A 26,900-nucleotide genomic window follows, 5' to 3' on the forward strand; every position below is an offset into this window, starting at 1 on the left:
GATCACTTGAGCCCGGAAGGCGAAGGTTGCAGTGAGCCGAGATCGTGCCACCGCACTCCAGCCTGGATGACAGAGTGAGACCTGTCATGGTGTGGAGGTGAGAGAGAGGGCGGGGAGAGGTGTGGGGGTGAAGAACCCTGTGGGGAGCTGTGCCTCTCCATCATGTTGCTGTTGTACTGTGGTCTCTGTGGATCTGAGTACATCATTCTGGTCCTGTTCTCTGCTTCTACTGGGGACTGAGTGTCTCTGCACACATAACTGGAGAATCCTTTGAGGGCACCAAAGGTCTATAAGGGGGACACTGATTGTTGTAGCAGGGGCAGGTTCTCTCTCTTTTTTTTTTTTGAGACGGAGTCTCCCTCTGTCGCCCAGGCTAGAGTGCAGTGGCGCGATCTTGGCCATCTTGGCTCACTGCAAGCTTCGCCTCCAGGGTTCACGCCATTCTCCTGCCTCAGCCTCCTGAGTAGCTGGGACTACAGGCCCCCGCCACCGTGCCCAGCTAATTTTTTGTATTTTTAGTAGAGACGGGGTTTCACCGTGTTAGCCAGGATGGTCTCGATCTCCTGACCTTGTGAGCCGCCTGCCTCGGTCTCCTAAAGTGTTGGGATTACAGGCGTGAGCCACCGCACCTGGCCCCTCAGGGGCAGGTTCTCACTCTTACCTGCTTTAGCTGGGTGGTCTAGCTGGAAGTCCAAACCCCTCACTGTGGGAGGCAAGGAGGACCTCCCAGAAGGAGGGCCCCAGACTGCGGGGAGAGAAGCCAGACTGGGTTCCAGCCCAGAGAGGTAAGTGCTGCAACAGGAAGCTAGGGGGTGTAGGGGCCAGGAGAAGGCACCTGAGAGAGTGAGGGGTGTCTCCTGACTGCCTCAAACAGGTCACGTTGCCTTCCCCATTGGAATCTTTGCACTCGCTGTCTCCTCTGCCAGGAACTCCCCTTACCTGCCCCGTGCGCAGTCAACTGGCTCCTCCTCCTCCTGGAAATCTGTGGGGTTTGCCAGCCACCCTGTCCCACTATGGGAGCTTCACACCTCTGCCCCCTCAGCCCATTTTGTTTGGCTGGCATAACCGGATCCCTGGCAAGCCTGGCTGATCAGAATACTCCATTCCACTGGCCAATCAGCGTACTCCATTCCACTAGCCAATCAGAGTAGTACCTTTCCCTGGCCAGAATTTGGTTCAGACATAGTCCTCTGACCTCAGGTGTTCCAATCAGAGTCCCAGTCCCGGTCATTTTCTACCGTCTCCTGGGGTTTGTAGAAAGGACCCTTAGGGAGCGAACCTGCATGTGAATGCAGCCAACACTGGAGAGCAAGACTAAAAGATGAAGGAAGATTCCTGACGAAATCCAGCTATACCTGAAATAAAACACTCCTTGCTTTTCTCCTTTTGCAAGCCAATAAATCCTTTTCGTGTCTGTGCTTGTTACCATGAGAGGTTTTTAAGACCTGCAACTACAAAAGTCCTGCCTCATTGAAGATCTCTGTTTAAACACCTCAGAAGATCCTTCTCTAGTCACCCAGTATAGCCAGGGATGGGCTCCCTGACTCTGTTCTCTATCATTCTAGCCAGTTTTCTAAATTTGCAGTAGTTATCCCACTGTGCAATTACCTTGTTTACTGATTGATACTCGTGCTGACAATATGATGATACTCATGCTGCGATGGTAGAAACCTTGTCCATCTTTTTTTTTTTTTTTGAGATGGAGTCTCACTCTGTTGCCTAGACTGGAGTGCAGCGGCTCGATCTCGGCTCACTGCAACCTCCACCTCCTGGGTTCAAGCGATTCTCCTGCCTCAGCCTCCTGAGTAGCTGGGATCATAGGCATGCACCACCATGCCCAGTTAATTTTTGTATTTTTAGTAGAGATGGGGTTTTATCATGGTGGCCAGGCTGGTCTCGAACTCCTGACTTCTAGTGATCCACCCGCCTAGGCCTCCCAAAGTGCTGGGATTACAAACATGAGCCACTGCGCCTGGCCGACCTTGTCCATCTTAATCACCACTCTATCCCCTTGGCCTAGTGGGCTGATAAATGACCCTACAGTCTCACATAGTCTTAGCAAAGCATGCGTTGGCAGCAGGGCATTGGTGGTCCTGGCAGGGGACTGCATAGCACCCTCACAGTGTGTGGCCAGAGGTTGGGGTAGGGAGACAAGCCCGTGTCCCTTCTCTGACCAGCCACAGAACTTTCTCCCTTGTGGGAGGAGACAGACACCCTTCCATGTTCTCCAGGATAGAGAGGTGAGAGATAGGCTGTCTCTCCAAAGTTAACAGATCCCGCAGGGCAAGCCCACCCTTCACCTAGTCCTGTACTTCTGTGGGCCCGGCAATGATGCCAGCTACTGTTAGGGACCAATGGGATTGCCCCATGATAAAGGGTTAGGGGCCAGGGAGAAGAGCATGCACAGAGGTCAGCCCTGCAGGTGCAGGAATTCACATTTACTGAGGTCCCCAATGTGAACTGAAGTTCACATTACTGAGGTCCATCCTTTAGCTCATGTTTTGCCTTCACAACAAAACAACCTGGTGAAGACCAACTCAGGCTGCAAGAGGGTAAGTGACTAGCCCAGGAACCTGGAAGGAGTTGTCACGGGAGCTTCACCAGCACCCAGGCTGTCTGATGGGGACACACCCCAGGGGGCCTAGATGCTGCAGAAATCCCCGATGGGGAGCCAGGTCCTCTCCCAGGAGAGCACTTTGTGGTTTTTTGTTTGTTTGTTTTATGTGTGTGTTTTGTTTTGTTCTGTTTTTTGAGATGGAGTCTCACCCTGTTGCCCAGGCTGGAGTGCAATGGTGCAATCTCGGCTCACTGCAACCTCCACCTCCTGGATTCAAGCAATTCTCCTGCCTCAGCCTCCCGAGTATCTGGGATTACAGGCACGTGCCACCACACCCAGCTAATTTTTTTTTTTTTTTTGTATCTTTAGTAGAGACGGGGCTTCACCATGTTGGCCATGCTGGTCTCGAACTCCTGACCTCATGATCCACCTGCCTCAGCCTTCCAAAGTGCTGGGATTACAGGCGTGAGCCACCACGCCTGGCCCCAGGAGAGTGCTTTGATATGGCTACTCCAGGGGGACAGTTTGGGAGTTTCTGCCAAAAATTAAAAACAGTGTGTGACCTCAGTGATGCCACTAGAGAATCACTCACTCCCGGGCACAAAGAGGCCTATCCCCGCAGGGTTATCTGTGACCCGAAAACAAACAACTCTATGTGGCTGGGGGTGGACCTAATAAAATACACTGTAGCGTGTCCACGCTCTGCAGTACCACACAGCAGACAAAGAACTGGGTACAGCGTGTTCTAATGTGGAAAATCCTCCAAGATGTGCTGTTGTACTGTGAAATAAAGCACAGCAATACACATGGCATAACTTTATATAAACCACAAGCGCACAGGCACTTACAAGGGTAGGGAAAGGAGAGAGAATGTTCTCCAAAGATGCAGAGAAGTCAACAAACAACAGTGTGTGGGCCGGTCGCCGTGGGTCACGCCTGTAATCCCAGCACTTTGGGAGGGTGAGGCGGGTGGATCACCTGAGGTCAGGAGTTCGAGACCAGCCTGGCCAACCCCATCTCTACTAAAAATAGAAAAATTAGCCGGGCATGGTAAAAATTAGCTGGGTATGGTAAAAATTAGCCAGGCACGATAAAAAATTAGCAGACACCTATAATCTCAGCTACCTGGGAGGCTGAGGCAGGAGAATCACCAAACTAACGAGACGGGAAGGGGACCAGGACTGGGGGTAGTGGTCAAAAGAGACTTTCATCTTAGCTTTAATTTTTTTAAGGATACAATTTTTAATCATTACAATAATGCGAAGGACTCCCCAAGATCCCTCTTTGTCCCTGATGGTCCACCATTCTTTGGTAGAGCCCAGTCCTTCCTTCGGGGGCTGGAGCCCACCACCCCTCTCGGCCCATTTTAGTTGGTGGAGTGTGCCCCTCTGCCATGATTTCCTCTGAGACTCTTTTCCCAACACACCCCCTGAAGCAGCCCTGGGCTGAGGGGGAACTGCTTCCTTCCTCCCAGTTTCTGTGCTCCCAGAATCCTCACCTCCTTGCCTGGCCAGGCCCCATCTGCTGGGAGAGAGGCCCAGGCCCATGGCCTCCTCCTTCAGACCTGCGGCAGGGGTAAGGAGCACCAGCTGGTCAGCCCATGGGCCTGTTTCACAGCCACTGCTCTGAGCTGACTTATGGGTGGTCAGAAAAGATGGTGGAGCCACTCCCCAACCCCACCAGGTGGGAAGCCAGGAGGAGCCCGTCCACCCAGTGTGCAGTGTGAAGGAAGGGAGAACACACACAGTCGCTGTTTTTGTTTGTTTGTTTGTTTTGCTTTTTGTTTTTTTGAGATGGAATCTCGCTCTGTCACCCAGGCTGGAGTGCAGTGGTGCGATCTCGGCTCACTGCAACCTGTGCCCCACAGGTTCAAGCAATTCTCCTGCCTCAGCCTCCCGAGTAGCTAGGATTACAGGCGCCCACTAATTTTTACCATGTCCAGCTAATTTTTACCATGCTCAGCTAATTTTTCTATTTTTGGAGACGGGGTTTCACCATGTTGGCCTGGCTGGTCTCGAACTCCTGATCTCAGGTGATCCACCCGCCTCGCCCTCCCAAAGCGCTGGGATTACAGGCATGAGCCACCCCGCCTGGCCCACACACTGTTGTTTTTTGACCTCTCTGCATCTTTGCAACACCCCATTTAGCAGAGGGCACTGGCTAATAGCACAGGCATGACCTTCTTGAGGACACGCAGGGTACCCAAGCCCATGTGGCTCCAAGTCCTCAAGAGACAATCTTGCTACTTGTCTCTGGTTCCCCCCACCTTCACCAAGTCTTGGGGCTGGGGAAGAGGATGGCACAAAATGGGCACAGAGCAAGCACAGGGCACAGTGTCCTGGGTTCTGGGCCACAGTTCCAGGAGTCAGGAATAGGCACTGGCTGCTCATCTGGAGCCCCTGCCGGAAGTGCTGAGGCAACAGCCCCAACCCCCAGGGAGGTGATCACAAGATGCACCCCGCAGGGTGTCTAGCCTGGTAGTCAGGTGACCCTGGCTTTTGAGCGGGTGTAGAAGAAGCTGGAAGTCAGCTACCATGGGGAGACAAAGGCCCAGGTTGCGGGGAACACACTTGGTTCGTTACATTGAATCAGATGCAGCTCAGGCTGAGCACAGGATCAGGAACTGCCCAACTCCAGGGGGCACCATTCACATCCTTGGTGGGCCTGGTGGGCTCAGGAAGAGCTGGGAACATGAATGTGTCCATGTGGACTGTGAAAACTGTAGGGTCTGGGCAAGGGGTGCTCAGTAACCATCTTAGCACCTGTCTCCAGAGAACTGGCTTGGGGTTAGACCAGGGACAGAAAGCAAAGGGAGGACTGCCATAGAACCAGCATCACCCCTCAGGCTGGCCTAGGGCGCTGGCTGCCAGCATGAAGTCCCAGCTAGCTAAGAAGGGTAGGTGGGGATAACCCCACTAGCCAGGGAGGTCACTGTGTTCCTGACCCAGTGCTGGGGAGCTGAAGGAACCTGGAACCCAGACCACAACCTGGAGCCAGGAGTGTGGAACTGGAAGTTGGAGCCCAGAACCCGGAAGCTGGAGCCAAGAGCCTGAAGCTCAGAACCTGCAGTGTGGAATATGGAATCAGAGCCTGGAGCCCAGAATTTGGAGCCCAGTGTCTAGAACCAGAGCCCCAAGCTTGACACCCGAACCCAGAAACTAGGGCCAGGGGACTGGGTCTCAGAGCCCAGAGCCCAGAACCCAGAGCTTGAACCTGAGAATTTAGAGTGCAGAGCCTGGAGTTCCTAGCCGGGAGAAGATCCCAGAACCTGGAGATGAGCTCCAGGCCTGAAATACAGAGCCTAAGACCTGAAGTCTAAAGCCAGACCTCAGAGCTTCAGGTCCGGACCTGGACACCAGAGCCGGGGCCCGCCTTGGTAGCATGCTGTCAGCCTCCCTCTCTGGCCTGGTCCTAAGGCCAGTGTGATAGGCTAGAGCCATATGTGGAAGCGAGCTGCAGGGGAAGAGGTGACTTCTGAGAAAAGCCCAAAGCAGCCTCAGCTCTTTTGGCCACAGACTTTGGCCTTATCAGTAAATGAGTGACCAGTGCCTTGGCCACCAAGATTAATAATTCACGCAGGGCACTTATCCCCTAAACAGGCACGAGGCATTCACAGGTCAGCCAACCCTGCCCTGGACCCATAGCATTTATTTTAGCCTTGGGCCCCTATCTGGAAAATAGAACTTGGAAGAGACGATGTTTCAGGGCCTTGCCTGCTCTGTGCTGGGGCCAGGCAGCTCTGTTGAAGTCCAGGCTCTCCAAGAGAGGACAAAGTCAAGGAGGCCAGGAAAGCCATTGCTTTGTTACCCAAAGGGAACCCACCGGTGAGAACCACTTTTTTGACAAGAGATATAGAGGGGATGTGCCCCTGATGTGTGCAGCGCACACTCGTGACTGTGTGCATGGCAATTGTGCTGGTCTGAATGCCGGGATGAGACGTTCACTGCCATACACCCAACGTACAGCACTGTGCTGACTCATCGTGGAGCTTAGATGTTTGTTGAATACATAACATGCTTGTGAGAAGAGGTAGGAGCTCTCAAACTACACTGATGGGAAAGCCTGTTACGCTGTTATGAGGTTATGCTGGTTATTAGTCAGTTTCCCATCCCCCCAAAATGAAAATCCAGGTCATGGACAGAATGCTCTTTCTTTCTTTCTCTCTTTCCTTTCTTTCCTTCCTTCCTTTCTTTCTCTTTCCCTCTTTCTTTCCTTCTTTCTTTCTTTCTTTCTCTCTCTTTCTTTCTTTCCTTCCTTCCTTCTTCCTTCTTTCTCTTTCTTTCATTCTTTTCTTTCTTTCTCTTTCTTTCTCTCTCTCTCTTTCCTTTTTTTTTTTTTTTTTTTTTTTTTTTGAGACAGAGTCTTGCTCTGTTACCCAGGCTGGAGTACAATGGCGTGATCTCGGCTCACCACAATCTCCGCCTCCCGGGTTCAAGCAATTCTCCTGCCTCAGCCTCCCAAGTAGCTGGGATTACAGGCATGGGCCACCATGCCCGGCTAATTTTTTGTATTTTTAATAGAGACGGAGTTTCTCCATGTTGGTCAGGCTGGTCTCAAACTCCCGACCTCAGGTGATCCACCTGCCTCGGCCTCCTAAATTGCTGGGATTACAGGCGTGAGCCACCGCACCCGGTTTCTCTCTCTCCTTCCTTCCTTCCTTCTTCCTTCCTTCCTTCCTTTCTTTCCTTTCTCTCTCTCCTCTTTCTTGTTTCTTTCCTTTTTTTCTTCTTTCCTTTCTTCTGTCTCTTTTTTTCTCTTCCTTCCTTCTTTCCTTCCTTCCTTTCTTCTTTCTCTCTCTCACTCTTTTTTTTTTGATGGAGTTTCACTCTTGTCACCCAGGCTGGAGTGCAGTGGCATCATCTTGGCTCACTGCAACCTTCACCTCCTGAGTTCAAGCAATTCTCTTGCCTCAGTCTCCCAAGTAGCTGGGATTACAGGTGCGCGGCACCACGCCTGGCTAATGTTTGTATTTTTAGTAGAGACGGGGTTTCACCATGTTGGCCAGGCTGGTCTCGAACTCCTGACCTCAGGTGATCTGCCTGCCTTAGCCTCCCAAAGTGCTGGGATTACAGGCGTGAGCCACCGCACCCAGCCTCTTTTATTTATTTATTTATTTATTTATTTATTTATTTATGTTTTTGACACAGGGTCTCGCTCCGTCACCCAGGCTGGAGGGCAATGGTGCAATCACAGCTCACTGTAGCCTTGCCTTCCCAGATTTCAGCAATCCTCCCACCTCAGCCTCCCCAGCTACAGATGCGTGCCACCACACCTGGCTAATTATTTATTAATTTTTTTAGAGGCAGTGTCTTGCTATGTTGCCCAGGCTGGTCTTGGACTCCTGGGCTCAAGTGACCCTCCCACCTCAGCCTCCAAGTGCTGGGATTACAGGCCTGAGATTTGGAGGGGATGCGCCCCGACGTGTGCAGTGCACACTCATGACTGTGTGCATGGCAGTTGTGCTGGTGTGAATGCCGGCATAAGATGCTCAAGGGTTCTTCTTCCCTTGACCATCTTCAACTTTAGGTCCTGCGGAAAACCCACATGCAGCAAACTGTGCATTTAAGGAGCACATGGCTCTGAAGAATTGCAGAAACGGCTGGTTGTGCCAGCCTCCACAGCTTGCTCAGTTCCTGGATGTGCACATTTGTTCTTGGGATCGTTCTCTCTCTCTCCGTTCAGCAGTGATGCCTCTCCCGGAGAAATGGTTTTCACTGGTGTGATGAAATTTAATATATGTCAGCGTCTCATATTCACGCTGGCGATGCTGTCTCTGCTCCCCCGCCTCCCGCTCCTTCCCACACCATCACAAGCTGACTCCTCCCCCAACATGCCCTCCCAGGTGGCTGACAGCCCTTGGTTGTTAAAGCCTCTCTGTTCTCAGATTACTTGACATCTTAGCAGCACTTGACCCAGCCAACCAGGGTGTCTCTCTCAAAATGTGGTCCAGCCTGGCTTCTGAGGTGGCTTCCTCCTGGTCCGTGGCTGCTCCTCTCAGTCTCCCTTAAATGTGGGTGCTGGCCAGGTGCCGTGGCTCACGCCTGTAATCCCAGCACGTTAGGAGGCTGAGGCGGGTGGATCACAAGGTCAGGAGATCGAGACCATCCTGGCCAACATCGTGAAACCCTGTCTCTACTAAAAATACAAAAATTAGCTGGGCGTGGTGGCGGGTGCCTGTAGTCCCAGCTACTCAGAAGGCTGAACCAGGAGAATCGCTTGAACCTGGGAGACAGAGGTTTCAGTAAGCTGAGATCGCGCCACTGCACTCCAGCCTGGGCGACAGAGCGAGACTCTGTCTCAAAAAAAAAAAAAGTGGGTGCTCCTCTGGGCTTGGCCCTGGCCCCTTCTCTCCTCCTGTACATGTCCTCCCTGGGGTACAGTTTCTCAGGCACGGGTTAAGGCTGGCAAAGCAGGTAGGAAGCCAAGTCACCCTGGTCCTTCCAGGCTACTATAGGATCCTGGGCTTTATGCTAAGTGGTTAGCAGGGGCAGGTTTCGAAAGGAAGAGGAGGTGACATGATTAACTTGGCCTTTTTTTTTTTTTCTTTTTGAGACAGAGTTTTGCTCTTGTTGCCCAGGCTGGAGTGCAATGTGCGATCTCGGCTCACTGCAACCTCTGCCTCCTGAGTTCAAGTGATTCTCCTGCCTCAGCCTCCCGAGTAACTGGGATTACGGGTGCCCGCCACCACGCCCCGCTAATTTTTTTGTATTTTTAGTAGACATGGGGTTTCACCATGTTGGCCAGGCTGGTCTCGAACTCCTGACCTCAGGTGATCCACCTGCCTTGGCCTCCCAAAGTGCTGGGATTACAGGCGTGAGCCACCGCGCCCGGCCTAGTTTGGCATTTTGAAAAGATTGCTGTCTGCTGCTTTGGAGCATGGATCAGGGGCAGCAAGGGCAGAAATGGACAGAGCACTTGGGAAGTGACCGCAATGACCCAGGGGAGATGACAGGCCCAGTCCAGGGAGGTGGCCACAGAGATGGCTAACAGCAAAAGATCAGGGAGCTCCTGGAGCAATAAAATTGGGAGAATTGAGGACTGAGTTGGAAACGAGGAAGTGGAGGGGAAGGAAACAGCAAGGATGTCTGCTTGGTGCCCGACCCAGATGGATGGACGGTGTGCCGCTCACCAAGATCAGGAAGAAGGAGGAGGCCCAGGTTTGGGGTGAGAAGCACAGTGCGTGCTTCTGGCTTGCAGAGCCAACTGCTCGTGCCAGAGGCCGCTCAGAAAGCCTGAGCAGACGGAGCTTGGCACCTTCCCTCCAAAACAGCTCCTCCTGCTGGGTTCCTTTCTCAACGCGAGACACCCCCAACCAGGCAGGCTCTCAGCCCAGAAAAGGTCTGGGGAGGCCATGGCCAGAGCCCAGGTGCACAGACAAGGTGGGACTCACCACCCAGGGGGACACACAGACTCTGTCACTGGCCAGGGAGGAGGCAGGCAGTAGGCAGGGAGGTGCTGAAATGGCAGAGAGGCTGGCAAGAGATACGTTGGTGCTGGAATGGAGCTGCCTTCTCTGCTGCTTGTATGAGTCCCAACAGCAGCTCTGGTCAGATCCAGCATTTTCTCACTTTCACTAGGGCTGTAGCCCCAAAATAAATCTTTAGAAGTGGTGGCTGTGTAAATCAGCAGCATTTTGGAATTATATCTCTTGATGGATTTGATCGATAGCTAACTGCCTCCCCCACTAAACCCAGAGCTCCGTGACAGCAGGGAAGGCAAACTTCAAAAATATCAAAAAGCACAACCTTATTAAAAAGGAGAAACACCCCCAGTTCACCAGGAGCACCTTGGATTCAGCTGCTCCTGCCAAGGGTCTGAACTGCACGGGGGAATGGAGAGAAACAGGTCACGTGGGCCGGGGTCTCTGGGCCCGCTGTGGGGGTGTCAGTTTGCTCATAGGTGGAGACACTCGATGTGACATTAACAGCACCTTCAAGCCCAAGGACCCAGAGATTCTGACACAAGAACTGAGAACTGATTGCATTTCCGTGACTCAGCGACACCCTCCTACCTGGGCATGAACCCAGCCCTAGCCAAAGATCCAGAGACCCGACTCCCATCTATTTCCTTTTCCTCTCTCCCTCCCCGTCACCAATTCTACTGGTCAGATGTCCCTGGGATGCACCTGTCCTCCCCAGCCCCTCCGTTCCCATCGGAGTTCAGGCCTCATCATCTCCTGCCTGGACCATTAGCCTCTTAACTGGCCCCTCCGCTTCCAGGCTCCCTTCCATATATCCGGGTTCCACCCCGGGGGCCATTCTAAAAGGCAGATCAGGCCCATCCCAGTCTGGCCAGCGGCTCCACATTCACTCAGACTCACATCCTGGACCCATGGTCGGGCATTAGAGACCTGCCACGATTCAACATTCCACGGCCTTTCCAGCTTAGGTCCTCATCTCACACTCCCTCTCCTCTGAGCTCCCCCTGGGAGACTTACAGACACCCCGACGCTTGGCAAGGCCATAGGATGTTTTTGTTTGGTTTGGTTTGGTTTTTCTGAGACAGTCTCACTCTGTCACCCAGGCTGGAGTGCAGTGGCACGATCTTGGCTCACTGCAACCTCCGAAGGCCATAGGATGTTTGGGTCATTCCCTGGGGAGTCCTGTCAGGCCAGGAACGAGGGGACCCTGGGAACAAGGTGCTGAGTGGCATCAGGGTCTCTGCCTGCAGGCGGGGGATGTGTCTGGGTCGTGGTTGATGGGAAGAACCTGACCATAGATTCCCCATGCAGAGCTGACGATTAGCAATTAACTGGGAGGAATCTCAGGGGTGAGGTTAATTGGGGGACAGAGGGAGGGCAGCTAGGGTTCCAGGGACTTTGCCCTTGACCCAAGAGTATAAAGAGGAGGGTCTCAGTTCTCCTCAGGGTCCTGGAGGCTTCATTGAGCTGCTGAGCAGAAGCTGAAACACAGAATTCTAAGGTGAGCCCAGGACCCTCACATCCCAACCCCACCCCCAGCTCTGAGTAGGAAACAGCCCAGCACCCCAGCCCCTTCATCTGTGTCCTATCTGCGCCCACCCCCACCGCGCCCCATATAACATGTCAGTCCAGCCAATCGCGGTGGCTCCCACCTGTAATCCCAGCACTTTGGGAAGCCGAGTGGGCGGATCACCTGAGGTCGAGTTTGCACTAAAAATACAAAAAATTAGCCAGGTGTGGTGGCAGGCACCTGTAATCCCAGCTACTTGGGAGGCTGAGGCAGGAGAATCGCTTGAACCCACGAGGCAGAGGTTGCAGTGAGCCAAGATTGTGCCACTGCACTCCAGCCTGGGCGGTAAGAGTGAAACTCCATCTCAAAAAAAAAAAAAAAAAGGACTCCTGCTCCTTCAGGACTTGAATTCAACTCTTCACACCCCTACAACAGCCAAGGACGCTGGGACAATGCGGGGAGTGCTGAGGCAGATCAGGGCACTCCACCCCAATAGCCAAGACTCCTGGGGCAGTGCGGGGACAAGGGGGGGCTGAGGCAAGCCTGTCAGTGTTTGTTCATTGCCCCTTGAGGGGGTGGATGGGGAAAGGAATTCATTGTGAGGGGAACCCAGGAACTCGGGATCCGGCCCAGGGGATCTCCGTGTGTGCCCAGCTGACCCCATGAGAAGGCAGGTGTCTGCAGCTCCTCCTTGCTCTCCAGGTGGGCAAAACTGAAGCCCGGCCCAGCCCCAGCCCACACCTGCAGCCACTGCCAACACCACGTATTCCCTGGCCCCCTCCAGCCCCAAACAGGCTGGGCGTCCTCAGTTCTCAGTGTCTTTTATCAATGCTATATCCAAGCCTCTGGTTCGGAGCCTGGGCTAGAGCTCAATAATACTCATTGAATGAGTGAATGGTGAATGAATGATCACCTCACCACCACCACACACACCCCTCCGAGACTCACATGCAGGTGCCCAGCACAGATGTGCACATGTGAGTCTGCATGTGAGTCTCGGAGGGCTGTGGTGGTGATGATGGAGGGTGTGGTTTGCTGGGTGTGTGTTTGTGCGTGTGAGTCTCGGAGGGGTGTGTGTGTGTGGTGAGGATGGAGGGTGTGCTTTGCTAGGTGTGTATTTGGAATCATGCGCCATGGGGGTTTGTGCAGGTGAGGGTGTGTGGGCATGAGTGTCCCGGACACAGCTATTGTCATTCAGCGTTGCTGAGACCCACTGACCTGCAGACCTCATAGTGGGTGCCCAGGATGTTGTCCTACGGAGAGAGGCTGGGGTCCCCTGCTGTCTCCCCACTCCCAGTCCGTGGGGGGCATGTGATGCGAGGGACGGCCTTTGCCTACGTGCCCAGCCCTCAGGGTAAGTGCTGCTCCCACACCCTGGACCCTGGTTGCCCACGGTTGCCCACATCCCGGATGAGGCCACTTCCCCCGCCTGTTCCTCCCCGCCTCCCCACTTTGGGGCCCTGGGGCTCCTGACCAGGCTCCCTCCCTAGTCCTACACAGGATCCCGGGGACCTCTGCCTATGCCTTCCCCAGCCTGGGCCCTGTGGCCCTTGCTGAGCACACCTGCCCCTGTGGGGAGGTCCTGGAGCGCCATGAACCACTGCCTGCCAAGCTGGCCCTGGAGGAGGAGCAGAAGCCAGGTGGGCCTGGGCTGGGGGTGGCAGAGGCGGCAGCAGTCCCTGCCCTGGCCTCTGCCCACTATGCTCATGGCTTCCCCCATCCAGAGTCCAGGCTGGTCCCCAAGCTGCGCCAGGCTGGCGCCATGCTGCTCAAGGTGCCACTGATGCTCACCTTCCTCTACCTCTTCGTCTGCTCCCTGGACATGCTCAGCTCGGCCTTCCAGCTGGCTGGAGGTAGGGCCCGGGTGGAGGAGACCTGGGAGGGGTTCCTGAAGGGCCTTGGACAACGCTGGCTCATGCTCCCCAGGGAAGGTGGCTGGTGACATCTTCAAGGATAACGCCATCCTGTCCAACCCGGTGGCCGGGCTGGTGGTGGGGATCCTGGTGACCGTGCTGGTGCAGAGCTCCAGCACCTCCACATCCATCATCGTCAGCATGGTCTCCTCTGGCTGTGAGTTGGCCCACCAGGGTGGGGAAGAGCTTGGAGGGGCACCCCAGGAGCTGGGAAGGGTGGCAAATGGGGAGCGTGACCCCAGTAAGGCTGGCCTCCATTCAGCTTGACTCCTGTATCAGCCAGGGACATGAGAGGAGCCCAACTGTAGCTGTATGTGACCCAGATGATTTATGGCAAGGAACTGGCTTCCCCGATGGTAGTTTGTCTGGGCAAGTCAGGAATCCGTAGGCCAGGGCATTGGAAGGGCAGGCGGGAACTCTCAGGTGGGCGCCGACACTGCAGTCCAGACAGGGCAGCGTTTCTCCTTTCTCAGGGAAGCCTCAGTTCTGCTTGAGGCCTTTCATTCTATTGGATTAGGCTGACCCAGGTTACCAAGGATAATCTCCTTTTCTTAAAGTCAGCTGACTGTAGACGTGAATTGCATCTACAAAACACCTTACAGAACACCCAGGCTAGTGTTGGGTTGAATAACTGGGTACCACAGCCTAGCTAAGTTGACACATAAAACTAACCATCACTGGCCGGGCGCAGTGGCTCATGCCTGTAATCCCAGCACTTTGGGAGGCTGAGGGGGGCAGATCACGAGGTCAGTAGATCGAGACCACCCTGGCTAACACGGTGAAACCCTGTCTCTACTAAAAATACAAAAAAAAAAAACAACAAAAACCAAAAAGCATTAGCCAGGCGTGGTGGCAGGTGTCTGCAGTCCCAGCTACTCAGGAGGCTGAGGCAGGAGAATGGCATGAACCCAGGAGGCAGAGCTTGCAGTGAGCCGAGATCATGCCACTGCACTCCAGCCTGGGCGACAGAGCGAGACTCTGTCTCAAAACAAACAAACAAAAAAACTAACCATCACACTCTGGGGCATGTGTGCACACACAAGCACAAATCTCTATTTGCACATAGGACATGAGCCCACGAGCCCTCATAACGAAGGCCTCACACGCACACACGTTCACATCCATACACCATGTGCAGCACGTGTACATCTACTCGCATGGATGAATGCACACACCTGTAAACGCACAGCCCGTGCCCACATGCACCTGTGACGCCAACGTTAGGCAGACTCAGCAGCATGGCAGGAGCGGCCACTGGGGACTGGGACGTGGGTGGGGGGCCTGACAGGAGTTGTGGTGGTGCAGGAGCTGGGTGACCGTCAAATTCATTAGGACGTCTTCTCTTCTACCAGTGCTGGAGGTGAGCTCTGCCATCCCCATCATCATGGGCTCCAACATCGGCACCTCTGTCACCAACACCATCGTGGCCCTGATGCAGGCGGGGGACAGGACTGACTTCCGGCGGTGAGGGGGGCTGGGGGTTGGGGGCTCGTGCCTGGGGGAGGACAGCCCCAGATGCCAGGAACCCCAGGCGTGACTGTGCACTGGCTCGAGCCTGCCTTGCAATGTGGCCTCCCTGCCCAGGGCCTTCGCGGGGGCCACGGTGCATGACTGCTTTAACTGGCTGTCAGTGCTGGTCCTGCTGCCCCTGGAGGCTGCCACTGGCTACCTGCACCACATCACTCGACTTGTGGTGGCCTCCTTCAACATCCATGGTGGCCGTGATGCTCCTGACCTGCTCAAGATCATCACAGAGCCCTTCACGAAGCTCATCATCCAGGTGACAGCAGGGCCTGGCATGGGGTGAGGGTGGGGGTAACAAGGGACCCAGCCTCCTTCACTCCCCCTGCCCACATCTTGCCCACAGCTGGACGAGTCTGTGATAACCAGCATTGCCACTGGTGATGAGTCCCTGAGGAACCACAGTCTCATCCAGATCTGGTGCCACCCAGACTCCTTACAGGTGAGTCCCAGGCCTAACCCCAGGTAAGAGGACTCCCTCTTCAGACTCTTGGTTTCATTGTCTGTTCAAAATGCTCCAGATAGACCTTGAAGATCATTTAGCCAGGAGAGGGCAAATATGTGGCCCTTCTACTGTGCTTACAGTTAACATTGCTAATTCCTCCCAACTTCCCACATCGCCTTAGGCAGACATCACCAATCAATTAAAGTTGTTATGTAATTGATCTAGCCCAGTGGTTCTTGAAGTGTGGTCCCAGGCCAGCATCTTGTGTGCCGTGTGGGAACCTATTAGAGATGCAAATCACCCTGCCCTTCCCTAGACCTACTGAATCTGGAAACCCCTGGGAGCGGGGCCAATGGCCTATGCTTCAGCAGTTCCTCTAGGTGTGCTCAGTGCTCAAGTTTGAGAACCGCTGATCCAGCGCAACCCTTGGGTTTCACAGGTAGAGACACAGGTTCAGAGAGGCTAAGAAACGTGCCAGAGCTTATCCTACCATGTCAGGGCCTGAGCACCCTAGAGGGGTTAGTGACTCAGCTGGGCCATGTTTTGGGACCCAGGTAACGTGGGGAAGAGGCAGAGTGCTATAAGGATACCAAGGAAAGTAACAGGAAGGTGAGCTGCGTGGAGAACTCCTTGGAGATGTTAACAGCCGCTTGTGCTGGCATCGGGGGTTCCTTCTCCTGGAGACTGCCACAGGCGGGAGTCCCTTGTCCTTCTGCACTGTTTCTGCTGCTTCTAATACTGGGAAGATCTGTTTGAATCAAGTGGATGCTCATGGACCACCCATTATGCCAGGCTGATGAGGAAGCAGGCAATTAGCACACTTCCTTACTCAGCTGTGAAAAGGCAAATGCTTCATCCAAACCACAATGCACCATATTTGCTTCTCCCTGATGCTTGCATGTGAGACATAACTCCATTTACAATGAGATACGAGGAAATCCAAGCCACAGCACAGCACAGCACAGCACAAGCCCTTCCCCTTCCCCTTCCCCTTCCCCTTCCCCTTGCTGCTTCTTGTGACTGGACCTTTACCCTGGTGCGAACAGAAAACACTCATCTGACTCGCCCTGCGATGCTCCTTTGCATCTGAAGTTGCTCCAGCTCAGCCTCTGAGTGTTCAAAGCAGCCTTACATAAAAAAAAACCCCTGCGGGCAGCTTTTACGCTGACTTCATGACCTCTTTAATACATCAACCACTTTCTCACGAGCTCTCTGAGCACTCTTAGTGCTCTCTGACTCACCACAAGCCTCTCTACTTCATAGCAAAATCTGGAAGGGAGAGAAATCACACACTTTGATCTTCGCAAAAAGCAAGCCATGGAAGACAGCTCTGTTCCTCACTGCCCCTGAGCTCCCTGCCGGCCACCTACTGCAGCTTCCGGCAGATCTCAACCAGCAGCCTCCACGTCCTCACTTGAAGTCATCCTCACCCAGGTTCACTCTGGGGAGGCCGCCCTTGGGCCTTTCTCTACGGCTGCAGCTGACACTTGTCCAGCTGGTTTCTCTTCCTCACTCTACCAGGAAATGCTTTCCTTAAACGCTTTCTGCAGGGCAGGGTCTCATTTCCTCGGCTTGGAGAGTAGCTGGTGGGTGGGACCCAAGCTCTCACTTTCATCCCCTTTCTGGGACAGCGCCCCGAAGGAGTGTGACTCACACAGCAGTGGATGTGCTTGGTCTTGCAAAGTGTGAAGTGCGTCCTGGCTCTTCCTGCCCAAAGACGGGCCACAGAGTCTCCCCGTGCTCCCTTCCAACCTGTTCCCATTGACGCCAACTTTCACCATGCTGGACCTGAACCAGCCCGAAACAGTCTCCAGGGAAGCTATGCACCAGGGAGAGGAGGCAAGTCCAAGGCCTACCAGATGGGGAAAGCAGCAGCAGCGGCAGTTGAGTGATCAGACACTTGAGTCTCCCGGGACCCTGACACCGTCCTGGGAATCACCTTCTTATGTGGCCACACTGTGGACTGTCAACTATACCTGCCTGGATTAAACAAGCATCTTTTGAGGACTTGCAACCTGGGAGGCAGGGATTATCACGTCCCCATTTTACAGACGAGGAGCACTGAGCCCCAGAGAAGTGCAGTGGCTTGCCCAAGTCCATGTAATTGAGGTAGGATACAAATCCTGGTAGAATCCTGACTATCTCGTTGCCTCTCTCACTCACCGGTCTGACATTCTACTATGTATGTCTGCTTCCCATGCTGCCCATCAGGCCTGAAGGCCACCAGGTGACCATAGCCACGTGGAGACGACTCCAGAGATAGCGGGTGTTGCTCTAAGGAGAAGTTCTCCTTTTCGCCACCAGGTGGTGCTGCTGGCACAGTGCTCTCCCTCGGCTTCCAGAAGAACAAAGGCCCTAGAGCTCCCCTTCCTCTGAGGGGGAAACTGCTGCGCTGGCCCACATCCTGACAGTCTCCTGTGAGCTTAATCACCTCCTTCAGTCCCCAGAAGGGGCCTCTTTAATTTAGGGTGTCCCTATAGGCACTTAAATCCCAACTCCCTCTTCCAAAATGCTTCCAACTAGCCCCTGGGAAAAGGTGGGTAGCATTATGGACTTCATGCTGCAGAGGAGGAAACTGAGGCCCAGAGAGGCTAAGTGTTTGCTCTGGTGACACACAGCTGGGAACGGCTCAGCTGGGGTATGGGCCCAGGGCTGTCCACAGGCCCATTCTGTTCTTCCCACAGAGCCCACCACCCGCTTCAGGCCCCTCCAGCCTCTCCTACCCCACCCCAGGCCCAGGCAGGGATGGGCACATCTTGGGAAGATGCCCCCAGATCCTGGGCCTCCCAGCTCTTTTATCTAAGCTGGAGTTTCCATCTTCTCCCTCTGCCCCACAGGGAAGCCCCAGGGCCTGCTCCCTCCCGGCAGTTCACTCTCTGCCTGGCTTTGTCCCTCCTGCCAGCTTTACCTTCCTCTCTTGTACTTTAGGGTCTCTGGGCTCCCAGCCAGGGCCACACAGTCCCAGGCAAGAAGGTCAAGGTTCTAAAAACCCAGAGGGCTTGGCCCTGCTGCTGCCTCTGCCAGCCCTAAGTTGGGACCCCAGTAAAGTTCCCCATTCTCCTCCAGCCTTCGCAGGGTCCCACAGTCCTCCCCACAGAGACCACTGGGCCCAGCCCAGGTTAGGTCAGTGGGGCACACGTTGACCAGGCACCTACTCATTCAAGGGGTTGTCTGCTACCTCAGCATCCAGGCTGGGTACTCCCAGGAAGGTCCAGCAGGCTCCTCCCCAACAGGGCTAGGGTTCTCAGGTTCATCTGCAGGGGCCACTGGTCCTGACCTAGGAAGTCAGTCACACACACAGCCTCCCAACCATGTGATCCTGAACGGGCCCAGCGAGGGAGAGGGTCACTCCATATCAGAAGACAGTTTACCGAAGGCTCATGATGAGCCAAGCCCTGTGATGAGCGCTTTAAACACATTCCCCCTGTAACCTTTACAGCAGCTCCTCTATTATCCTGCGTTAGAGAAAACAGGCTCTGAGAGGTGGCATGGCTTACCCAGGGTGGTTGGTATAAGAAGCAGGATTTGAACTCAGATCTGCCTAACAGCAAACACCTGGCTCTCTCTCTCCCTTACCCTCGCAGCAGTTACCGTTGCTTTCCCAGCCTGGTTTTCTCATCTAGCCCATCGCAGCCTATTTTTTCCAGGCTTCTTGGCCTGCCATTCAGGCCCAGTCTTGATGGGTCCCCAAGGCCCTGATGTGGCGAACTGGGAGCACAGAAGAGCACATTGCCCCATTCAAGGGAGCACATCCCGCTAAAATAAACCCGGATGTTACACCAGACGCCATAAAAGTTCTTACCTTGGCCAGCATGGTGGCTCACACCTGTAATCCCAGCACCTTGGGAGGCCGAGGTGGGTGAATCACCTGAGGTCAGGAGTTCGAGATCAGCCTGGCCAACATGGCGAAACCCCATCTCTACTAAAAATACAAAAAATTAGCTGGGCGTGGTGGCAGGGGCCTGTAACCCTAGCTACTCGGGAGGTGGAAGCGGGAGAATCGCTTGAACCCAGGAGGCGGAGGTTGCAGTGAGCCGAGATTGTGCCACTGGACTCCAGACTGGGCAACAGAACAAAAACTCTGTCTCAAAATAAATAAATAAATAAATAAATAACTTCTTAACCCAACAAGGCTACAAATGAGTTGTCCACAGGCCAGACTGGCCTGCTTCTGCTGACCTTCATTGAATTGTAAAAGATAACTCAAAGTGGTCGCCAATATTTACAGATTGGGAGTTTGTTGCTTTCGGGAGTTTTTCATTTTTTGAGATAAGGTCTTGCTCTGTCACTCAAGCTGGAGTGCAGGGGCATGATCATAGCTCACTCCAGCCTCGACCACCTGGGCTCAAGAGATCCTCCTGCTCCAACCTCCTGAGTAGCTAGGACTACAGGTGTACACCACCATGCCCTAATTTTCTTTGTGGAGACAAGGTCTTGCTATGTTGCCCAAGATGGCCTCCCACTCCTGGCCTCGAGTAATCCTCTCACCTCAGCCCCCCAAAGTGCTGGGATTACAGCCATGAGCCACACTGCACCTGGCCCAGATTGGGAGATTTCATCTAGAACTTCAGAGTTGTGGCTTTTCTCATAGAAATTGGGCAATTTAGCCACACTAGGCTGCGTCCCTGGATGGTGACAGTGATCAGGAGCTGAGTAGCTACTGCTGACTCTACAGGCCCAGCAGAAACTCTCCCCACCTCTTCCACACACAGCCCGAGCTGCTCACTTAGGTTACCGGCCCGGACCTGTGGCCTTCTGAATTGTAGGGCCTCCCTGGGGAGCCCCTTTGTCTCACTGACAGTAGGTGGGCAGAAGAGACGTGTGGGCTGGGCCCTCTGTCCCCTTACACCCCCTGAGGATAAGGAATTGATCTAGAGGAGAATGGAGCTTGAGCTAAGGGTGTCTTGGAGGAGAGGAAGGAGCCAGGATGCTGGGGAAGGGGCACCGAGAAAGGGATGGGTAATAAAAGATGAGGAAGGGGGAGTTTTCAGAAAAAGAGGAACATGTTCAGCAGCACCCAATGCCACTGAGAGAGGGAGGAAAAGAAAGACAGGAAGCCACTGGATGTGGCCCCAGGGAGAGCTGGGCCAGTGGAGTGACAGGGCAGAACACACAGAGGACCAGATTCTTGTGTGGCAGGCACTTTCATCCACATGTCCTCAGTGGAAGAGACAGGCTCAGAGAGGGCAAGAGACCCATCCATGGTCACAGAGCAGGAGGCCCATCTCCATCTTCCCCATCTCTCCCTAACTCCCATCTCAGCCCCAACCTCAGGCTGTGTTTTCCTAATTCACTAAGTCACCCTCCTCCTGATCTAGGCTCCCACCTCCATGTCCAGAGCAGAGGCCAACTCCAGCCAGACCCTTGGAAATGCCACCATGGAGAAATGTAAGTGCCTGCAACATGGGAGGTGTCCTGCATGGCAGGGGCAGAGCCTAGCAGTGGCAGGGCAATCCCACACAGCCACTATTGTGTCCAGCCCCAGGAAGCATGGCTGTCAACTAGCCCAGCTCCTGAGCCTGGGTCAAGCTCCGGTGTTGAGGCTCAAGGAGCCTGAGATGGGGCCTTAGGATCAGAGCCCAACTGGGTGGCAAAGGTGGGGACCTGGGAGCCAGGTGTGGGGTCAGCTGTCAGGAGCTCCACCCCCTGCAGGCAACCACATCTTTGTGGACACTGGCCTACCGGACCTGGCTGTGGGGCTCATCCTGCTGGCAGGATCCCTGGTGCTGCTGTGCACCTGCCTCATCCTCCTAGTCAAGATGCTCAACTCCCTGCTCAAGGGCCAAGTGGCCAAGGTCATCCAGAAGGTCATCAATACGGGTGAGCTGCGAGCAGTTGACTGGGCAGGGCCACAGGATGGGCCTTTCCAGATCCTGCTAAGTCCTGTGACTGCCTTGATCTGGGTAAACCCTACCATCTCTGAGACTCAGTTTCCCGATGTGAACAAAGAAGGTGGTTTCTGAGGCCACTGAGGTACTGACAGCTGGAGACCTGTGGCCGCCTCTGGCTGTGGTTCCATTTTAGCAGGTGGAGATGCTCAAGGACCATTGTTTGATTCAATCAACAAAGAGTACTTAAGCCCCCATTGTGTGACAAGGGAGGTGTAGTGCCAGGTATACAGAGGTGAGACAAACAGAGTTGGGTCCTGCCCTGAGGGGCTCACAGCCCAGCAGGGGGAGGAAAGCAATGAAAAATACATGAGATTGGCAAATGGCTCACACCTGTAAATCCAGCACTTTGGGAGGCTGAAGCAGCAGGATCACTTGAGCCCAGGAGTCCAAGACCAGCTTGGGCAACATAGTGAGACTTTGTCTTTTTTTTTTTTTTTTTTTTTTTTGAGACAATTTCACTCTTATTGCCCAGGCTGGAGTGCAATGGCATGATCTTGGCTCACTGCAACCTCCACCTCCAGGGTTCAAGTGATTCTCCTGCCTCAGCCTCTCGAGTAGCTAGGATTACAGGTGCCGGCCACAACACCCGGCTAATTTTTTGTATTTTTAGTCGAGACAGGGTTTCACCATGTTGGCCAGGCTGGTCTCAAACTCCTCACCTGATGATCCACCCGCCTCAGCCTCTCAAAGTGCTAGGATTACAGGCATGAGCCACCGTGCCCGGCCGAGACTTTTGTCTTTACAAAAAATTTTAAAATTAGCTGGGCATGGTGGTGTGCTCCTATAGTCCCAGGTACCCAGGAGGCTGAGTGGGAGAATCGCTTGAGCCTAGCAGGTTGAGGCCGCAGTGAGCTATGATGGCACCACTGCACTCCGACCTGTGCAACAGAGTTCAAAAATAAATAAATAAATAAAAATAGAAAAAGAAAATGAATTAGGAATAGGAAGGAAAATGAATTAGGGGGATAAATTCAGAGAGAGGTACCTGCCAAGGACATAGCAAAAATGGCAGTGCAGTAGGGTGTGGAAGAGACGGTTTCCAATGCGCTGTTTGAGGCCGCTCAGTGCAGTTGGCATTTGAACAGACACAAGTAGCCACGATGCGGATGAAGAGCACTCTGGGTGGAGGAACAGTATGTGCAAAGGCTCAGAGGCAGGAACCAGCATGGCAGGTCCGTGGCACAGAAGGGTGGCCAGTAGCTGGCAGGAGCAGGGTAAGGGATTGCCTGAGTGGGGTCAGTGAGGTGGCACGGAAGGGGCCAGAGCATGGGGTCTCCAGGCTCTGCTCAGAGCCTGGACTTTATTGAGGGTAACATGAGCACTCAGAAGACTTGGGGTAAGGGAGCAACACCATTTGATTTTCATTTTCCCTTTTTTGTTTTTTGAGACAGAGTCTTACTTTGTCACCCAGGCTGGAGTGCAGTGGTGCAATCTCAGCTCACTGCAACCTCTGCCTCCCAGGTTCAAGTGATCCTCCCACTTCAGTCTCCTGAGTAAACTGGGATTACAGGTGTGCACCGCCACACTCAGCTAATTTTTGTATTTTTAGTAGAGACAGGGTTTTGCCATGTTGGCTAGGCTGGTCTTGAATACCTGGCCTCAAGTGAACCTCTCGCCTTGGCCTCCCAAAGTGCTGGGATTACAAGTGTGAGCCACCATGCCCAGCCTCTTCCTATTAACCATAAATTTTTTTTATAGAGATGGGCTCTCACTATGTTGGTCAGGCTAGTCTCGAACTCCCAGCCTCAGGTGATCCACCCAACTCAGCATCCCAAAGTGCTGGGATTATAGGTGTGAGCCACCTTGCCCAGCCTTGGTTTTCATTTTAAACTTCATGCACTGGGAGGGGCTGCATGACAAGTACTAGAATAAGGGGTATCATGGGGCTGTGGGAGCTCAGAGAAGGGAGAAAAAGTCTGCTCCAGAGCAGGGGGTCAGGGAAGGCTTTCCAGAGGAAGTGACATCCATGCTGAGTCTGAGGATGAATATTCAGATGCTGAGTAGGATATTCCCAGCAGAGGGAACAGCCCCATCAAAGGCACAGTTGCCTGACGGAGCCAGGCTGAGAAAGGCCTTCAATCCAGGAGCAAAGAGGCCAAGTGGAAGCAACTGCAGTGGGAGCAAACCCCCATGGAGGTCGTCTCTCCCAGTGCCCCCGCGGAGATCCGCTCTCCCAGTGCCCCCGCGGAGGTCCGCTCTCCCAGTGCCCCCGCGGAGGTCCTCTCTCCCAGTGCCCCCGCGGAGGTCCTCTCTCCCAGTGCCCCCGCGGAGGTCCGCTCTCCCAGTGCCCCCGCGGAGGTCCTCTCTCCCAGTGCCCCCGCGGAGGTCCTCTCTCCCAGTGCCCCCGCGGAGATCCGCTCTCCCAGTGCCCCCGCGGAGGTCCGCTCTCCCAGTGCCCCCGCGGAGGTCTGCTCTCCCAATGTCCCCGCTCTGACCCCAGCCTGCTGGGATGCGGTTTCCTTGCAGACTTCCCTGCCCCCTTCACCTGGGTCACAGGCTACTTTGCCATGGTGGTGGGCGCCAGCATGACCTTCGTGGTCCAGAGCAGTTCTGTGTTCACCTCGGCCATCACCCCACTCATCGGTGAGTGCCCATGTAGAGGTGGAGTGGGGTGGGCCAGGGCTGGCAGGGAAAGGGCCGAAGGAGACGCTGGGGGTCCCACTTCCTCTCCCTCTGTCCCCAGGTCTTGGTGTGATCAGCATTGAGAGGGCCTACCCGCTCACACTGGGTTCCAACATCGGCACCACCACCACGGCCATCCTGGCTGCCCTGGCCAGCCCCAGGGAGAAGCTGTCCAGCGCTTTCCAGGTGCGCTGGGAGTGTAGCCTCGCCTGGGGCAGGATGGAGCTGCCTCTGGGGTGTGGGGCCTCACAAAGGTGTGACAACATGGAACAAATATTTTGACTGCCTACTAAGGGCCACCTAATATGCTCAATGAAACCATTATGGGCAAAGTAGACCCAATACCACCCTCGAGACCTTAGCATCTAATAGGGAGACACTGCTCATAATTACACCAATAAATAGCAGTGAGTCGGATTTGCACCATAAGGAAGAGGAAGAGGAAGAGGCACTACAAAAGAGGGCCTGGAGCAGTTTGGGGAATCCATTGCGGGGGTCAAGGCCGCAAATGGCAAAGGGGAATTATTCTAGGAGCAAAGGAGTAACTGACAAGCCAAGGCACTGACTGAATGAGGGTCCAGAAACTGACATCAATCCTTTAGCTGCTGGATTTTGGCAGTATCTGCTGGGGGATTCCTGTGCGAGGGGTCAGTGGGGAAAATGTGGGGAGCTCAGGGCAGTAGTTATTTACCAACTGGTCTAGAAGTATTTCAATATTTGCATAGCCAGCATAGCCACCTCGGGGTGATCTCGGGGCAGGGGGCACATCACCCCTAAGTGGAAACTTTCCTGCTGCCCAGACCAGATCGGGGTTCCTATCATCTACCCCTGCTGGCCTGACACAGGACCTGGGAGCCAGTGCCCATCTCAGCCCCTCTGCCTCATCCCCTGCAGATTGCCCTCTGTCACTTCTTCTTCAACATCTCGGGTATCCTTCTGTGGTACCCGGTGCCCTGCACACGCCTGCCCATCCGCATGGCCAAGGCGCTGGGGAAACGCACGGCCAAGTACCGCTGGTTTGCCGTCCTCTATCTCCTTGTCTGCTTCCTGCTGCTGCCCTCACTGGTGTTTGGCATCTCCATGGCAGGCTGGCAGGTCATGGTAGGTGTGGGCACGCCCTTCGGGGCCCTGCTGGCCTTCGTGGTGCTCATCAATGTCCTGCAGAGTCGGAGTCCCGGGCACCTGCCCAAGTGGTTACAGACATGGGACTTCCTGCCTCGCTGGATGCACTCCCTGAAGCCCCTGGACCACCTCATCACCCGCGCCACCCTATGCTGTGCCAGGCCTGAGCCCCGCTCACCCCCGCTGCCCCCCAGGGTCTTCCTGGAGGAGCTACCCCCTGCCACACCCTCCCCCCGTCTTGCACTGCCTGCTCACCACAATGCCACCCGCCTCTAGGCTGTGGGCCCAGACTACAGCCTGGAATGGGGAAGGCCTGGGGTGGAAAGGCAGGGGAGGGAGGGTGTGTGTAGGTATGTGCATGTGCCTGTGCCACCCTGGGTGCCAGTCTCTCCTTCTGTAGCTCCGCAAAGCTCTGGGCTTGTGTGAGAGTGTCGGTGTGTGTGCATGTGTGGGGGTGAGTCTGCATGTGCACCTGTCATGTGTAGAAGCTTGTATTTGTGTACAGGTGTGCCAGCCCATGCAGGTGTACACAGACACACCTGTGGGAGGCTGTGTGCAGGCTGCAGGATATCTGGGTATGATTTCAGGTCCTCTGCACGTGTACACATGACTAGGATAGGCAGGAGTAAGGGTGGGTCTGGGTATATGACTGTGCAGCTGTTTGTGCATAGATGTTGGTGCCTGCGTTACTGAATTTGCACACCTCCTTGCCACCTTCCTTCCTCCAAGATACCATCTCCTCATCCTAACCCAGGTCTTCGGCACCACCACAATTAATTCCCTTCCCAACACTTGCCTGATGGAAAAAAAACAAAGGAATTAAAACTCTCCTCAGGCATTCGGAAGTCTTTTTGCTCTCCATCAATGGCAAAGGGAAGACCAAGCCAGGGGGTTCAGCAGCACCATCTCCCCTCAAAGACTGGCTGCAAGAGCAGCCTGCCCTGCCCAGGCCAGGTGCAGTTCCAGAGAAGCCAGCCCTGCAGGCTCACCCCAACCATCTGCCTGGCCCTACCTTAGTGAGTCCAAACCACAATTCAAACTCCCTGGAAGCCCCTCCTAGGCCTGGGGCCACCCCCAAGGCAAGTGTAAGGAGGATTCTGCACCCCCACCCCCTGACCCCCACCTGGCTGAACTTCCTCTGGTCTCCCTCTGCCCTCTAAATTCACCCACCTCAGCCACACATCACTCCTTCCTGCTGGGATAAGATCAGGGCTCCAGAATAAGTGACAGGTGGGGTCTGCCATCAGGGCCGCTGGGGGAGGGGACGGGAAGGGTGGGGGTGGGCAAGAGAGGCCATGCCCTGGGCCCCAGCACATGGAGGGCAGGGACCAGACACCCTCCCTCCCACTTTTGTCCACTATCTTTGGGCAATAAACCAGGCCTCAAACTTACCCAAGCTTTTCAATTCCCCCTCCTCCATAGGTCACCCTGAAACTGAGGCCTGCAGAGTGAGACTCCCGGGTAGGGATGCCAGAGTTCCTCCCTCTAGTCCAGGGACTCCTGCGGGGCCTTTTCGAAGGCCTGGGGAAGGCAGGATGTAAGGTCTCAAACCCAATTGCGATGGTCTTGGACATGAGCCCTCTCAGTAGGCTCCCCTTGGAGGAATGTGGGCAGAGATGCAGAGGCCTGTGAGCCCCAGAACTGCTTTACAAGCCACCAAGCCCATCCTGTCACCCACTCACAACTTGCTAGTGCTTGAGGTATGAGTGGAGGGGGGAGGAGCAAATTGGCCTCCAGCCTGACACCCTGATGGGGAGAGGTGTTCGCGGGATGGGGAGGGGGCTCCCTTTACTTGTCCTGCCTAATGTGTGGGAATATCTCTGAGAAAGGACGCTAAGGCTGAAACAGACTTTGAGAAGCCCCCACCCTTGGACTCTTCCTCAGCTGCGGAGTCCCTAG

General features: G+C 54.6%; 1 protein-coding gene across 2 annotated transcripts, besides 11 other annotated features; it reads left to right on the top strand.

Annotated features, from left to right (window-relative positions):
* Nucleotides 693-1,193: an enhancer, noted in NCBI's record as "H3K4me1 hESC enhancer chr5:176800703-176801203 (GRCh37/hg19 assembly coordinates)". NCBI's record gives its function as "activates a minimal SCP1, AML or CMV promoter by ChIP-STARR-seq in primed H9 embryonic stem cells {active_cell/tissue: H9 hESC(primed)}" and the evidence as "EXISTENCE:reporter gene assay evidence [ECO:0000049][PMID:30033119]".
* SLC34A1 (solute carrier family 34 member 1) lies at nucleotides 11,425-25,839 on the top strand. 2 transcript variants are annotated; one of them, NM_003052.5, is made up of 13 exons: nucleotides 11,425-11,478; nucleotides 12,686-12,841; nucleotides 12,978-13,127; nucleotides 13,212-13,340; nucleotides 13,414-13,557; nucleotides 14,753-14,864; nucleotides 14,985-15,180; nucleotides 15,268-15,363; nucleotides 20,685-20,754; nucleotides 21,019-21,186; nucleotides 23,724-23,840; nucleotides 23,941-24,065; nucleotides 24,774-25,839. In NM_003052.5, exons 2-13 carry the CDS (start codon nucleotides 12,733-12,735, stop codon nucleotides 25,275-25,277), a joined length of 1,920 nt encoding a protein of 639 aa, NP_003043.3. In that variant the 5' UTR covers nucleotides 11,425-11,478; nucleotides 12,686-12,732; the 3' UTR covers nucleotides 25,278-25,839. The 2 variants fall into 2 exon arrangements, with proteins under 2 accessions (NP_003043.3, NP_001161051.1); NM_001167579.2 differs by lacking the exons at nucleotides 20,685-20,754; nucleotides 21,019-21,186; nucleotides 23,724-23,840; nucleotides 23,941-24,065; nucleotides 24,774-25,839 and adding an exon at nucleotides 16,630-17,504.
* Nucleotides 14,606-15,106: an enhancer, noted in NCBI's record as "H3K4me1 hESC enhancer chr5:176814616-176815116 (GRCh37/hg19 assembly coordinates)". NCBI's record gives its function as "activates a minimal SCP1, AML or CMV promoter by ChIP-STARR-seq in naive H9 embryonic stem cells {active_cell/tissue: H9 hESC(naive)}" and the evidence as "EXISTENCE:reporter gene assay evidence [ECO:0000049][PMID:30033119]".
* Nucleotides 15,107-15,607: an enhancer, noted in NCBI's record as "H3K4me1 hESC enhancer chr5:176815117-176815617 (GRCh37/hg19 assembly coordinates)". NCBI's record gives its function as "activates a minimal SCP1, AML or CMV promoter by ChIP-STARR-seq in naive H9 embryonic stem cells {active_cell/tissue: H9 hESC(naive)}" and the evidence as "EXISTENCE:reporter gene assay evidence [ECO:0000049][PMID:30033119]".
* Nucleotides 16,126-17,325: an enhancer, noted in NCBI's record as "P300/CBP strongly-dependent group 1 enhancer chr5:176816136-176817335 (GRCh37/hg19 assembly coordinates)". NCBI's record gives its function as "activates an origin of replication core promoter dependent on BRD2, BRD4, P300/CBP, MED14 and CDK7 cofactors, with strong dependence on P300/CBP, by STARR-seq in HCT116 cells {active_cell/tissue: HCT116}" and the evidence as "EXISTENCE:reporter gene assay evidence [ECO:0000049][PMID:35650434]".
* Nucleotides 16,126-19,179: a biological region, named in NCBI's record as "VISTA enhancer hs2229".
* Nucleotides 16,366-19,179: an enhancer, noted in NCBI's record as "VISTA enhancer hs2229". NCBI's record gives its function as "enhancer in: trigeminal V (ganglion, cranial)[4/7]" and the evidence as "EXISTENCE:transgenic organism evidence [ECO:0001131][PMID:17130149]".
* Nucleotides 16,411-16,460: an enhancer, noted in NCBI's record as "active region_23714". NCBI's record gives its function as "activates an Ori minimal core promoter by ATAC-STARR-seq in GM12878 lymphoblastoid cells {active_cell/tissue: GM12878}" and the evidence as "EXISTENCE:reporter gene assay evidence [ECO:0000049][PMID:35858748]".
* Nucleotides 16,601-16,650: an enhancer, noted in NCBI's record as "active region_23715". NCBI's record gives its function as "activates an Ori minimal core promoter by ATAC-STARR-seq in GM12878 lymphoblastoid cells {active_cell/tissue: GM12878}" and the evidence as "EXISTENCE:reporter gene assay evidence [ECO:0000049][PMID:35858748]".
* Nucleotides 17,901-17,980: an enhancer, noted in NCBI's record as "active region_23716". NCBI's record gives its function as "activates an Ori minimal core promoter by ATAC-STARR-seq in GM12878 lymphoblastoid cells {active_cell/tissue: GM12878}" and the evidence as "EXISTENCE:reporter gene assay evidence [ECO:0000049][PMID:35858748]".
* Nucleotides 22,995-23,650: an enhancer, noted in NCBI's record as "H3K27ac-H3K4me1 hESC enhancer chr5:176823005-176823660 (GRCh37/hg19 assembly coordinates)". NCBI's record gives its function as "activates a minimal SCP1, AML or CMV promoter by ChIP-STARR-seq in naive H9 embryonic stem cells {active_cell/tissue: H9 hESC(naive)}" and the evidence as "EXISTENCE:reporter gene assay evidence [ECO:0000049][PMID:30033119]".
* Nucleotides 24,871-25,046: a silencer, noted in NCBI's record as "fragment chr5:176824881-176825056 (GRCh37/hg19 assembly coordinates)". NCBI's record gives its function as "represses an EF-1alpha promoter that drives an FKBP-Casp9 reporter gene in an ReSE screen in HepG2 liver carcinoma cells {active_cell/tissue: HepG2}" and the evidence as "EXISTENCE:reporter gene assay evidence [ECO:0000049][PMID:32094911]".

Source organism: Homo sapiens, chromosome 5 (genome assembly GCF_000001405.40).
Source record: "Homo sapiens chromosome 5, GRCh38.p14 Primary Assembly".
NCBI classification, from domain to species: Eukaryota; Metazoa; Chordata; class Mammalia; order Primates; family Hominidae; genus Homo; species Homo sapiens.

Coding starts and splice junctions, on each gene's coding strand:
- SLC34A1 (NM_003052.5), top strand. CDS start 12,733: ATGTTGTCCTACGGAGAGAGGCTGGGGTCCCCTGCTGTCTCCCCACTC. Junction 13,128..13,211: donor GGAGGAGGAGCAGAAGCCAG/GTGGGCCTGGGC, acceptor TCCCCCATCCAG/AGTCCAGGCTGGTCCCCAAG. Junction 13,558..14,752: donor CAGCATGGTCTCCTCTGGCT/GTGAGTTGGCCC, acceptor CTCTTCTACCAG/TGCTGGAGGTGAGCTCTGCC.